Consider the following 12598-nt stretch of genomic DNA (forward strand, 5'->3'; position numbering starts at 1 on the left):
AGAAAGGATGATTTCCGAAGCCTCAGGAACTGACTTTCAGAACACCCCAGGCCCTGGCAGGTGGAGCTGGTCTAACCCAACATGTCTGGTGAGCTGCTTCCTCCTAACTGCGCCCCCCCAACCCCTTCCCTGCCCCCACACCCGGGCTGACCCTGGGCCCCCAACAGGGCCCCTCGCATAAGCACCTGATGCATGTCTGCCTGCATCAGGGCCCCAAAGCCCACGGAAGGACCTGCCTTTTCCTCAAGGGCTCCTGGGTTGGTAGCTTTTCCAGTTTCCTTGCTCCTCACCTCTGAGCCCTTCTCCAGGGCCCTGAGGTCACAGTTGCCATGCGGATGATGGGCAGAATGGGCTTTGGTTCCTGGCAGCTGGACCTCATTATTTCTGGTTTTAGATTTCAACCTGAGGGAAATGCACACCAGTCCATGGGGCTGGTGGGAGTTTAACTGGCCTAATCTTTTGGAGATGGAGGTGAACTGTCACTTTGTATCATAAACTTCAACGTGAAGGAACACACCTGGCCTGTCCAAGTGGCTGCTAAGCCCTTGAAGGTGGTAAGCCCAGACTGAGATGGGCTGAAGTGGAAACCACACACCAGCCTGCCAAGACTAAGTACAAAAAAGAACACAGACAACTGCAATAACTTTTGATATTGATCATATGGTAAAAATGATCATTTTTAAATATAATGGGCTAAATAAAATACACTATTAAAATTCATCTCACCATTAATTTCTTTACTTGTCTTAATGTGGCCACGAGAAAATTTAGAATTATATTACATAATGTAATTACATTACAGCTACTAGAAAATTTACCATGATTACACCTCACATTATTATTTGTGTTGGGCAGCGTTGGTATATACCCTTTGAATCAGAACTTGATCCCTAGGAACAAATCCTGAGGAATTAAGACAGGCGTATAAAGATGAACAGATGAGGGTAATCAAGGTTGCCTGTTTAGAACAGTAAGAAACTGGGGGGCTGGGTGTGGTGGCTCACTCCTTTAATCCCAGCACTTTGGGAGGCCGAGGCTGGTGGATCACCTGAGGTCAGGAGTTTGAGACCAGCCTGGCCAACATGGTGAAACCCCATCTCTACTAAAAATACAAAAATTAGCTGGGTGTGGTGGTGCATGCCTGTAATCCCAACTACTCAGGAGGCTGAGGCAGGAGAATCACTTGAACCTGGGAGGTGGAGGTTGCAGCGAGCCGAGATCGTGCCACTGCACTCCAGCCTGGGCAACAAGAGCAAAAACTCTGTCTCAAAAAGAAAAAAAAAGAAAAGAAGTTGGGGGAAATGGGCCAGGTGTGGTGGCTTGTGGCTGTAATCCCAGCACTCTGGGAAGCAGAAGTGGGAGGATCACTTGAGCCCAAGAGTTCAAGACTAGCCTGGGCAAGACAGGAAGATCCCATCTATACAAAAAAAAAAAAAAATCAAAAAATTAGCTGGGTGTGGACTAGTGAGGCTGAGGTGGGAGGATCACTTAAGCCTGGGAAGTTGAGGTTGCAGTGAGCCAAGATTGCACTCCAGCATGAGCAGCAGAGCGAGGGGCTGTCTCAAAACAAAAAGAAAAGAAATTGGCTGGGCGCAGTGGCTCAAGCCTGTAATCCCAACATTTTGGGAAGCCGAGGCGGGTGGATCACCTGAGGTCAGGAGTTCTAGACCAGCCTGGCCAATGTGGTAAAACCCCATCTCTACTAAAAATACAAAAATTAGCCGGGCATGGTGGCAGGTGCCTGTAATCCCAGCTATTCAGAGGGCTGAGGCAGAAGAATCGCTTGAACCTGGGAGGCAGAGGTTGCAGTGAGCCAAGAGTGCCATCACACTCCAGCCGGGGGGACAAGAGTGAGACTTTGTCTAAAAAAAAAAAAAAAGAAATTGGGGGAAATACTGAGCCACAGAAAATGAGACAGATGAGTCCTGGTACATCCTGAAGTCAGAATACTACACAGCCTTTATAAATATTTTTTGAATATTGTGGGACATCGGAAAATGTCATATGGCATGTTGTTGCACGGAAAATCCAACAGACTAAGATCTCATTTACACGTGAAAGTTCATATTGATATACACATGTGCACAAGAAAAAATAGAAAAGGGTATACAACAAAATAATAGTAGTCAGTTGTTTTCAGATGGTAGAATTACAGAACATTTTTCTCCTCCTCCCTTTGACCCTAAATTTGGTTATCTGTCCCTTAACTTTTCTGCAATTTACGGAGATTACTTGTATAATTGTATTTGGGTTAAAATTTTTTTAACCATGATGACTATAATGATAAATAAAAGAAATAATAGATGTTGATGAGGCTATAGAGAAACTGAAACTCTCATACATTACTAGCGAGGATTTAAATGGTACAACCACCGTGGAAAACAGTTTGGTAGTTCCTCAATCAATTAAACACAGAATTACCATGTAATCCAGCAATTCTACTCCAAAACAATTTTTTTTTTTTTTGAAACAGAGTCTTGCTGTGTCACCCAGGCTGGAGTACAGTGGCACAACCTTAGCTCACTGCAATCTCTGCCTCCTGAGTTCAAGTGATTCTCCTGCCTCAGCCTCCCCGCACTGGGTGGCATGTGCCACCACGCTTGGCTAATTTCTATATTTTTAGTAGAGATGGGGTTTCACCGTTTTAGCTGTGCTGGCCTTGAACTCCTGATCTGAGGTGATCCACCCACCTTGGCCTCGCAAAGTGCTGGAATTACAGGCGTGAGCCACTGCGCCCAGCCAACAATTCCATTTATACCCGAGATAAAAGAAAATGTTCGTCCACACCAGAAACCTGTAACCAATGTTCAAAGCAGCACTGTTCATAAGTGCCAAGAGGTGGAAACAATCCAAACGTCCATCAACAAAGGAATGGGTGAACAAAATGTGGCACATCCAGATGACAGAACATTATTCAGCAAAAAAAGAAATGAAGCATTGGTAAATGCTACAGCATGGATAAACCTTGAAATAATCACACGATGTGAAAGAAGCCAGACATACAAGGCCACACGGTGTATGATCCCATTTACACGAAGTGCCCTGAACAGGCAAATCTAGTGAGAAATGAAGTAGATTGATGGTTGCCAGGGGCTGGAGGGTGTTGAGGGAATGAGAAGTGACTGCCAGTGGGTATCCTTTTGGGGGTGATAAGTTGTTCTACAATTAGGTAGTGGTGGCCAGGCACTGTGGCTCACACCTGTAATCCCAGCACTTTGGGAGGCTGAGGCGGGTAGATCATTTGAGGTCAGAAATTCAAGACCAGCTAGGCTAACATGAGACCCCATCTCTACTGAAAATACAAAAATTAGCCAAATGTGTTGACACGCACCTGTAGTCCCAGCTTCTGGGGAGGCTGACGCAGGAGAATCGTTTGAACCCAGGAGGCGGAGGTTGCAGTGAGCTGAGATAGCACCACTGAACTCCAGCCTGGGTGGCAGAGCAAGACTCCATCTCAAAAAAAAAAAAAAAAAAGAATTAGACAGTGGTGATGTTTGTATAACTTTGTGAATATACTAAAAGCCACTGAACTGTACACTTTTAAATGGTAAATGTCATCAGCTGTGAATTAGGTGTCAATGTAAAAACTGTTTAACCTTGGGGATGAAGGGGCAATAGAAGCCAATTCCTTCCTCAGATGCTGTCAAGGTGGGGTTGAGAATTTCAGTGTCTCCAGGGTCAGAAAGGCATGAAGTGAGAGAAGGGGCCCGTGCAGGCATGAACTGGAGTCCCACCCTGTCGAAGGGGCTGCCACCGTTCCCTCCAGCCAGTTGCTGCCATGGGAGGCCAGATTTTCCCCTTTCATTAAGAGGAGGCAGAAATCCGCTGGGTTAAAAAATATTGGCAATCGACTGCAAAGGGTTCTGAATGCTGGGGTAAGCGCATTGCCTGCCTGGCCCTGGCCTCCCCCATCAGGCTGTGGGGACCTGCTTGCAGCCCTGCTGTGCTGAGCAAGGCATCACCAGTGGGAGGAGAGCCACACAGGGTAGGGGGTCAAGGACAATGGTCCAGAACAGGGAGGATGGGAGGGGCCCAGGAGCAGAGGAGCAGGCCTGAAATCCACCCTGGAGTCCAGCCTCCCTCCCCTGACTCAGGAGGAAAGAGAATGTCAGCATGCGCTCCCATCCATTTTGGGGCACCAGGACTCTGTGAGCCTGTAGTCCCAGGACCCAGATGAGGGGCATGCACACCACTGCCTCCTCTTCCCACAACCCCTGCTGGCCCCCAGGAGTGTGTGGGCCCTGAGGGGCACCCCCAAGGCCCCACCTGTGCTTGCATGGCCCTCTGAGCACCTCTGGTTTGCTAGGTGCTTGCTAGAGGCCAGGAAAGCAGATGCAAAAAGCGCAGCCCCACTCTGCTAGAAATGCACATCCCCTCGCCAGGATCCAGGACAGTAAACGCTGCTTCAGCTGGCCAAGGGGCACCAGGGTTGCAGCGGAGGTTCTAGGCCACGGGGATGGGAGCAGGAGGTGATGCCCAATGGGGTTCTGGGGGTGGGGTGGACAGGGCTGGCAGAAGGCATAGCCTTGGCAGAGGCAGAACACACAGGGCTCAGGGAGCCTCGGGCTCTTCAGTGTGGGTAGAAAACAGGCAGGGAATGAAGCAGCTGGGGTGGTGGGGGCGTGAAGGCCTCATCTATCAGTCCAGGACATTTGGACTTGCCCTGAGTCTACAGAGGACACCAAGCCAGGGAACGAGATCTGAAGTGCCCGGCAATAGACAGCGTGGGTGTGGATGAGACTGAGAGACAGCAGGTGCAGCCGCCCAGGGTGAGGGTCGGGAAGGCAGAAGGTGGAAGGGCTCAGGGCAAGGCCCCACTGGAAGAAGCAAGCACAGCTGAGAGCCTTCTCCCGTGCCCCAGGGACTCCCCAAGCCACCCTGCCTCCCACTGGCCCCACCAGCTGTGCCAGCCTGGATGCCAGCCCCAGGACACCAAGGGGCATCACTGGGGGGCTCAGTGACTTCCAAGACCCCAGCTCTCTCCTGCTTGCCACCTCTTGAAAGATTGGCCAGGACTCAACCCAAACACTGGGGAAATCCCGGAATACAGAGGTGAGCCAGGCTGGATGGAAAGGTGAGCTCCTGACAGTGCTGCCGGGGGAGGCTGCTGTGAGTCTCTGCTATGCATCCCACTCAGCTGTCACCCTGAACTCATGAGGCTGCTTCCTCCTCCGTGATACAGAGGTGACAACGGGATGTCCTCCCTTGTGAGGTTGTTCATGTCATGAAAAACCACCACAAGCTATTCACAATCACAACCACCAACATGGCAACTACTCAATGTCCAACAACTGGTGAGTGCAAAAACAAAATGGGTATATCCAGGTGATGAGATGTTATAAAGCAATACAAAAGGAGGCAGCCCTGTCATACTCCAAGAAGGGATAACACTAGATATACAAGGCCAGCCTACTGCAGGATGCTATTTACATGAAATGCCCCAGACAGGCAGATCCACACAGGCAGAACACAGATTAGTGGTCGCCAGGGGCTGGGAGAGGAGGAAATGGGGAGTGACTGCTAATGGGTATGAGGTTTTTTGGAGGGCGATGAAAATGCTCTAGAAATAGATACGGTGATGTTTTCAAATCATTGTGAATGTACTTAATGCCAATGAATTATACACTTTAATTTTTTTTTTTTTAATAGGGATGGGGTTTCACCATGTTGGCCAGGCTGGTCTCAAACTGCTGACCTCAAGTGATCTGCCCACCTCGGCCTCCCAAAGTGCTGGGATTACAAGCATGAGCCACTGCTCCTGGCCTGAACTGTATACTTTAAAATGGTTACAATGTTAACTTTTTTTTGAGACAGGGTCTCTCGCTCTGTCACCCAGGTGGATGGAGTGCAGTGGCACGATCACAGCTCACAGCAGCCTCAAACTCCTGGACTCAAGTGATCCTCCCTGCCTCAGCCTCCCGAGTAGCTGGGACTACAGGTGCACACCACAGCACCCAGCTAATTTTTTTAATTTTTCTTTTGTAGAGACAGGGTCTTGCTATGTTGCCCAGGCTGGTCTCGAACTCCTGGCCTCAAGTGATCCTTCCACCTCAGCCTCCCAAAGTGCTGAGATTACAGGTGTGAGCCACAGCGCCCAACCTAAAATGGTAAATTTTATATTACATGAATTTTGCATCAATTTTTAAAGAGATCATGCACACCCTTAGCACAGGATCTGGTAGGAGACGTAGGAGATGCAGGAGACGCTGGGGTTGCTGGGACTGTTATTATTGTTCCCTAAGTAATCCTGTGATACCATCATGGCTGTTCAGCTGGATTCAAGCTCACCAGGGACGCAGCAACTTGCATGCCTCCTGCGGCTACAGCCAAAACAATGACTAACCCTGGGCCTTGGGAGGGAGGCAGGGAGGGACAGCCTCCTTAGCCTTGCAGGGGCCACTCCACAGGGGACTACCCTCTCATGCCTGGCACACGCAGGGCACTTCATGATGCTGGATGCTGGCTCCTCTCCTTCACCTGCCTTTTCCTTGGATGCCATGTGCTGAACTCGTATACACCATAGATCACTCTTAGCTGCTGGGATGTTAAAATTAACCAAAGATGCATTTGGGTGCACTTGGCCTTGAGAAGGAAGCTCTCAAACCCAATTCTGTCCTTCAGAGCAGCAGCAGCAGCAGCTTGAAGATTAATTGCTGGCATTTATGCAGCACCTTAATACCCTTTTTCATGCCAACTTCAACCCACTTTGTAAGTGTGAAAGCCAAGGAATTCCTGGTAAGAGCTGCCACAGGCCCACGTCAGCAGTGTTTATTTCAACCTCGGATACCAAGGGTCCTGTTAGGATCTCTGCGGGTTTTTTCCTACCCTGAATGAATCCTCCAATTCTCAGGACTGAAGGGGAAGCTGGGACAGAGTGAATTGACTTTAGAATCTACTCTTCTCTCATGAGCAATAAGGCAACTGAGAAAGCTGTCAGAGTGGGTGCTCGTGACTTTAAAAATCACAGTCTGTTTCGCTCATCTATGTTCCCTTCCTACAGCTATGCTCTGTTCTTTACCATGCGCCTTATAGCAGTAATAATAACCACCATGTGCTTTAGCTGGGCGTGCTGGTGCACGTCTGTCATCCCAGCTACTTGGGAGGCTGAGGCAGGAGAATCGCTTGAACCTGGGAGGTGGAGGTTGCAGTGAGCCAAGATCGCACCACTGCACTCCAGCTTGGGTGACAGAGCGAGACTCTGTCTCAATAAATAAATAATAATATAATAACCACCATGTGTTAACATTTACCCAGAGGCTAGGACTCAGCCAAATGCCTGGAATTATCTTAGTTAGTCCTCGCTTTTAGGGTGCCTCCCTTTAGGGCCATGCCTCCCTTTTAGGGTGGTAATCACACCCATTTTATAGATAAAGAAACTGAGTCTCAGAGAGGCTAAGTCACTCCCTGAAGGTCACACAGCTAGGAGCAGCAGAACTGGGATTTAGACCGAGGTCCATGACTTTAGATTCTATTTGCATAGCCATTGGCTAGGCTGTATGCCCAAACTGAGGAGGGATGGAACAATAAATACATATCATTTATGTAATTAGAGAAAAATTTCTCCATTTTAATAAAAAGACTAAAGATGATGAAGGGGGAAAAAAGCAACAGTGAATCAGGAAAGATTTTGAGAGTGGGCGAGTGGGTGTCTTTCAGAGCATCTAAGAAACAGGTTTTCACAGCCTTCCAGAACTATCTTCAGTTCCAGATTTATCCTGAGGCCAAATCAAGCATAAACAGGCTTATCTAAAGTACAAGGTTGGCCGGGCACAGTGGCTCATGCCTGTAATCCCAGCGCTTTGGGAGACTGAGGCGGGTGCATCACTGGAGGCCAGGAGTTTGAGACCAGCCTGGCCAACATGGCAAAACCCCGTCTCTACTAAAAATACAAAAATTAGCTGGGCGTGGCGGCGCATGCCTGTAATCCCAGCTACTCAGGAGGCTGAGGCACAAGAATCACTTGAACCTGGGAGGCGGAGGTGGCAGTGAGCCGAGATTGTGCCACTGCACCCCAGCCTGGGCGACAGAGTGAGACTCTGTCTCAAAAAAAAAAAAAAAATGTACAAGGCTTACTTCAGTAGGACACTTAGATCAGGAATTTCAGGTCCTGCTACTTGGATATAATACAGATTCTACCTTCCATTACAAACACTGGATAAAACAAGAAACAAATGTAATGTCCAGCTAAATGGAAGGAAAGGGCAATACCCAAGTGCCAGGGGCAAGGAAGAGACCAGGAACCAGCAGGGTTAGTGACAGATGCTGCTGAGGTGGCCCAGGTGTTAGAATGGTTTCAGGCTCCAACAGCTAAGGGTGGGGACTTCAAGTCCACTGAGTGACAGAAGAGGCCTTGGGTCTGCATGAACTGGAGCTGAGACCCCTCTAAAAAGCTGAAATACAAAAGGCTGCCTCTGCACATCAGGTGGGTCAGAAAAAACGTTCCCCACTGGCCCAGAGAATAATAAGACAGCCATCTCTGCTAGGGAGACGGCAGGGGAAAGAGCAGGCTTCTGCAATGAATCCAAACTCCAAGACTGAGCCACACACTGGTGAAAAATCCAAGTCTCTGTGGGGCAGGAGACCCAAACCAAGGAGTTAATGTGAAAAGTGTTTTCAGACTGGTGAAAAGCTTGAGACACCTAGCACAAGAAATGCAAATGCACTGTGTAAGGCTCTTCTAAAACCCAGGGCACACAGGAATCCTGTGGGGTGGTAGGGGGAAGGGCCAAGGGGAGTTGGGAAAAAGCCCAAAGATGAGCTTATAATCAAAAAACCAAACCATACAAGCAAATGAACCACCATAAGGGAGAACAGCAGACACAATTAACAAAAGGAATAGCACTCCAAGAAGGCAAAACAGAAGAGACTATATAGTAGGCTTTAAATTATTACAAACAATGGAAGAACCATACCCTATGAAAAAGAGGTGAATTTGAAAACTATATAGCACTTATAAACTTTTTTTATAAGTCATTGCAATTTTTTGAAATTTAATAGGTTAAGGCAGCAAGGTTGTAATAGCTGAAGAGAGAATTAGTGAACTGGAAGATGGATCTAAGGAAATGACCCAGCTGAAATAAAAAGAAAATATGAAAGAAAGATTAAGAGGCATGCAGACAGAATGAGATGAACCAACATTTGTCTAATAGGAATTACTAATGAAGAAGATAAAGAGAAAGGGGAGAGATAATATTTTCATAATGGAAGATATGATCTTTCTTTAGAATCAAACAACATAAACCATTCCCAGGATAAATAAAAATAAATCCACACCCAGACATAGCATGTACAAAACACCAATGACAAAAATTTTAAAACAGGGAAAAGGGAAAATAGGTTTCTACAAAGAAATGTCGATTAGACTAACAGCTGATTTCTCAACAGCAACAAGACCAAAAACGAATCGCTGAAAAAAAAAAAATCCAGCAACCTTATATTTTACACACAGCCAAATGTTCATTCATGCATGCCTGCAAAATAACAATATTTCCAAAGTTTACAACTCACAGAGCCTCACTGAAAAATCTACAGAAACATGCATTAAATAAGAAAACTATATCCATAAGGAAGAGTGGTTGCAAGAATTAATAGTGTCTGCATAGAATAATAATGAATATGTAGGTTCTTAAGTACTATGGAGTGATACAAATTAAAGTACATTAAGGTCCCCAATTATGAGCACAAGGGCAGAGATGGTGATTAAGTTTAGGCATGTCCAAGATAGCAGACATATAAAAAATGAAATGAATTACTAAAAAAAGTTATAGCATGCCTTTTAAAAGGAGATACATAGCCAGCTCCTGAAGTGTTCCCAGTTGAAATGATTAGTAACTGCCAGTAACTCTCAAGCACTGAGGATGGGTCAAGAGCTTTGCCCAAATTCTAACTTAATCCTCGCAACATTCAGTGAAACAGGTTCTATTTTTGCTGTCATTTTACAGATGAAGAAACTGAGGCTCAGGGAGGCAAAGTGCTTTGCCTAGACAGTAAGAGGCAATACCATGATATAAACCCACATCTATCTGCTGGAAAAGGACAGGTGGTGAGAAGCCACCTGTGTGCCATAGTGGGACTCTGGCTGAGGTCCTTGGGGGGATGCAGGCAAGGGCAAGAACCCCCTTAGAACTACCAGGTGGGTGAGGCCTGCAAAGTGCTGGGTATTTGCTCAGGGTTCTCTGATCATTGGGATTCTGGCACAGGTGCTCAGGAGGAGCTTAGGGAACCCTCTTCCAACCTCAGCACCTGGGGCAAGCTGGCCTCTGCAGCCCACCTTTGGCCTCTACAGCCCCCCTTTGAGGACTGCTGTCTCCGGCCTGGCCACCTGCCCTCCTCCTGGAGGCACCTGGGCCCTGAGACCTCCACTAACCTGCCAGGGAGCAGTGCCAAGAACGGAAGGCTTGCTCCTGACAGAGTGCCGGTCTGCAAAGGTCACACTGCTGGGACGACAAAGAGCCTTTTTGTCCTAGTGCTCCGTGGCCACCACCACCAGCGGAAATCACCCACTCGACCTTCTGGTTTTATAAATTAATAATTAAGCTGGAGCAGGCAACAGGAAGGCTGGCAGGACCAGGGGTGCCCAGGCCCTCACCCTGTACAGTCACACCAGCATGGACAAAAGAACAAAAGAGGCCCTGAGTTTTCTTCCCAGAACTGTGAGCCCTTCTGAGCTGAAAACACCTCATTCCCTCAGCTCGAGATAACAGATCCTAAAGTGCTTTGCAAAGGGAAGAGCATCTTATCAACACCCAGGTTATTCTGTTTGTCTTACTGGGCCGTATGGCATGTCTGAGAGTTGATTAAATTTCCACGATACATTCTGGAGACCATTAACTCACAAAAAAATATCCTGCCAGGATGGCAGTAGGGGAGGCAAGAAAGAAAGATGCAGCGGGGATCTAATTACCACCAATCTGCGGAGCGAGGACGTCTTGGAGAGGACTGCCAGTGGCTTGCACAGAGAAAACACAAATTCTTTTGAAACAGACCTGAGCCACCCAGTGAGACCCTAGGAAACAGAGGGGGCGGCACCCTCCTGCCTCTTCCTCCCAGCCGTGGTCCCCACTCCCCTCCCACTGCCCACTACTGAGCTTGTTCTCCCTGGGGGCAACCCACCTAGATTCCAGAACTTTCCACATCACCCAGAACCAATCCTATCTGCCTCAAGGTTCAGTTCTCCCCTTGCCGACTTGGTAAACAATGTGTGGAACTCTACTGACGAGGTTGTGGGGTAACAGCATGGCCTCCCCCAGATCACACAGATGTGCCGACTCTCAGAGTCTCAGTCCAGAGCATGTGGGGTTCTCGGCATGCGGGAGAGGCGGTTTCTCCCGGCACTGCACTTGGCAAATCCCACTAGAAGGCCTGGTTTTGAGTCTGGATTCCCTACCCAGCAACTAAGTGATCTTGGGCAGTCATTTCCTCTGTCCAAACCTCAGTTTGCCCATCTATAAACTGGCAGCAATAGTCCCACCCTCAAAGGGCTTTTCGGCAGATCAGATGATTGACAAGTGCTCAAGAAAGAGCAGCTGTCACCTCATTCACAGCTGGCTGCGTTTTTTAAGGAGCGGAACTGGTGGCTCAAAGAAGGACACAGCCTGGATGAGACATCTGAGCGAAGTGGCACAGGACGGCTCCAGCACCGAGCTCAGTGCACATGGAACGCCATCCTCCAGGGTCCCGCTCTGTGGCTGCGACAGATGGTGAGATGATGGGGCCCAGGTGAACAGAATGAAAAATACCAGCATGGGCTAGAGCAGGCAGGTGCCTTTGGTTGATCCCCAGCCCTGTGGGAAGCTTCCACAGCGGGCATTCTCCTGCAAGTTTCCCCTGTGAGCCCCCAGAGAGGAGGGCAGGGGAGGCCTGGAAGCCCCCATCCAGTCAAGGCAGAAAGGGTTCCAGAGGCTGGGGGGGTCCCATGATCTGGACCACTTTGTGGATGACTCCAGGCCAGGGTCTCCCCCCGCCCCAGAGCTCAGCATACAGGACTGGTCCTTCCCCCTGGTTTCACGGACACATTCATTCCTCCTCTGCTGAGGAGCCACTGTCTGAGGAGGGAGCCTGAGGTGGGAGGATCACTTGAGCCTTGGAGTTAGAGGCTGCAGTGAACTGTGATTGCACCACTATGCTCCAGCCTGGGCAACAGAGCAGGGCCATCTCAAAAACAAATTAATTTTAAACAATCAATAAAAGTAATTGTTTGAATCATTTTCTTACTGAGGCATGATTTCCATACAATGGAAAACACTTCACTGTTCAGAGACCCTAACAAGGGCAGAGGGCCCTCCCCAGAGGCACTCAGACAATTCCACATCCTATTTCATGGGGTTCATGGACTCCCTGAAGATGCCAGGGGAAAAGCCACAACCTAGCCCAGAGGAAGAGAAAAGGCACGGGGGACTGGCTGGTTGGCTGTTCAGCTTACCAAGCTTTGGCGGACGACAGAACAGTGTGGAGCTGGCTGGTCCACCCTGGCCCATCAGACCCTTCCTCCCGCTATGCTACAGTTGTTGGGGTGCTCCCCTGTCCCCCTGGAACCCCTGAGCTTCTGGAGGGCAGGGACCGCATCTGGTCCACCCTGGTAGCAGAATATGGCAATTGG

At 48.6% G+C, this 12598-nt stretch overlaps 1 protein-coding gene across 6 annotated transcripts in view; it reads right to left on the reverse strand.

Moving 5' to 3' along the window:
• Window positions 1-12598, reverse strand: part of TESC (tescalcin) — a 60494-nt gene that overhangs the window by 41715 nt on the left and 6181 nt on the right. The gene's annotated exons all lie outside the window — the stretch shown is intronic.

The sequence above is a fragment of the Homo sapiens genome, chromosome 12, assembly GCF_000001405.40.
Source record: "Homo sapiens chromosome 12, GRCh38.p14 Primary Assembly".
NCBI lineage: Eukaryota > Metazoa > Chordata > Mammalia > Primates > Hominidae > Homo > Homo sapiens.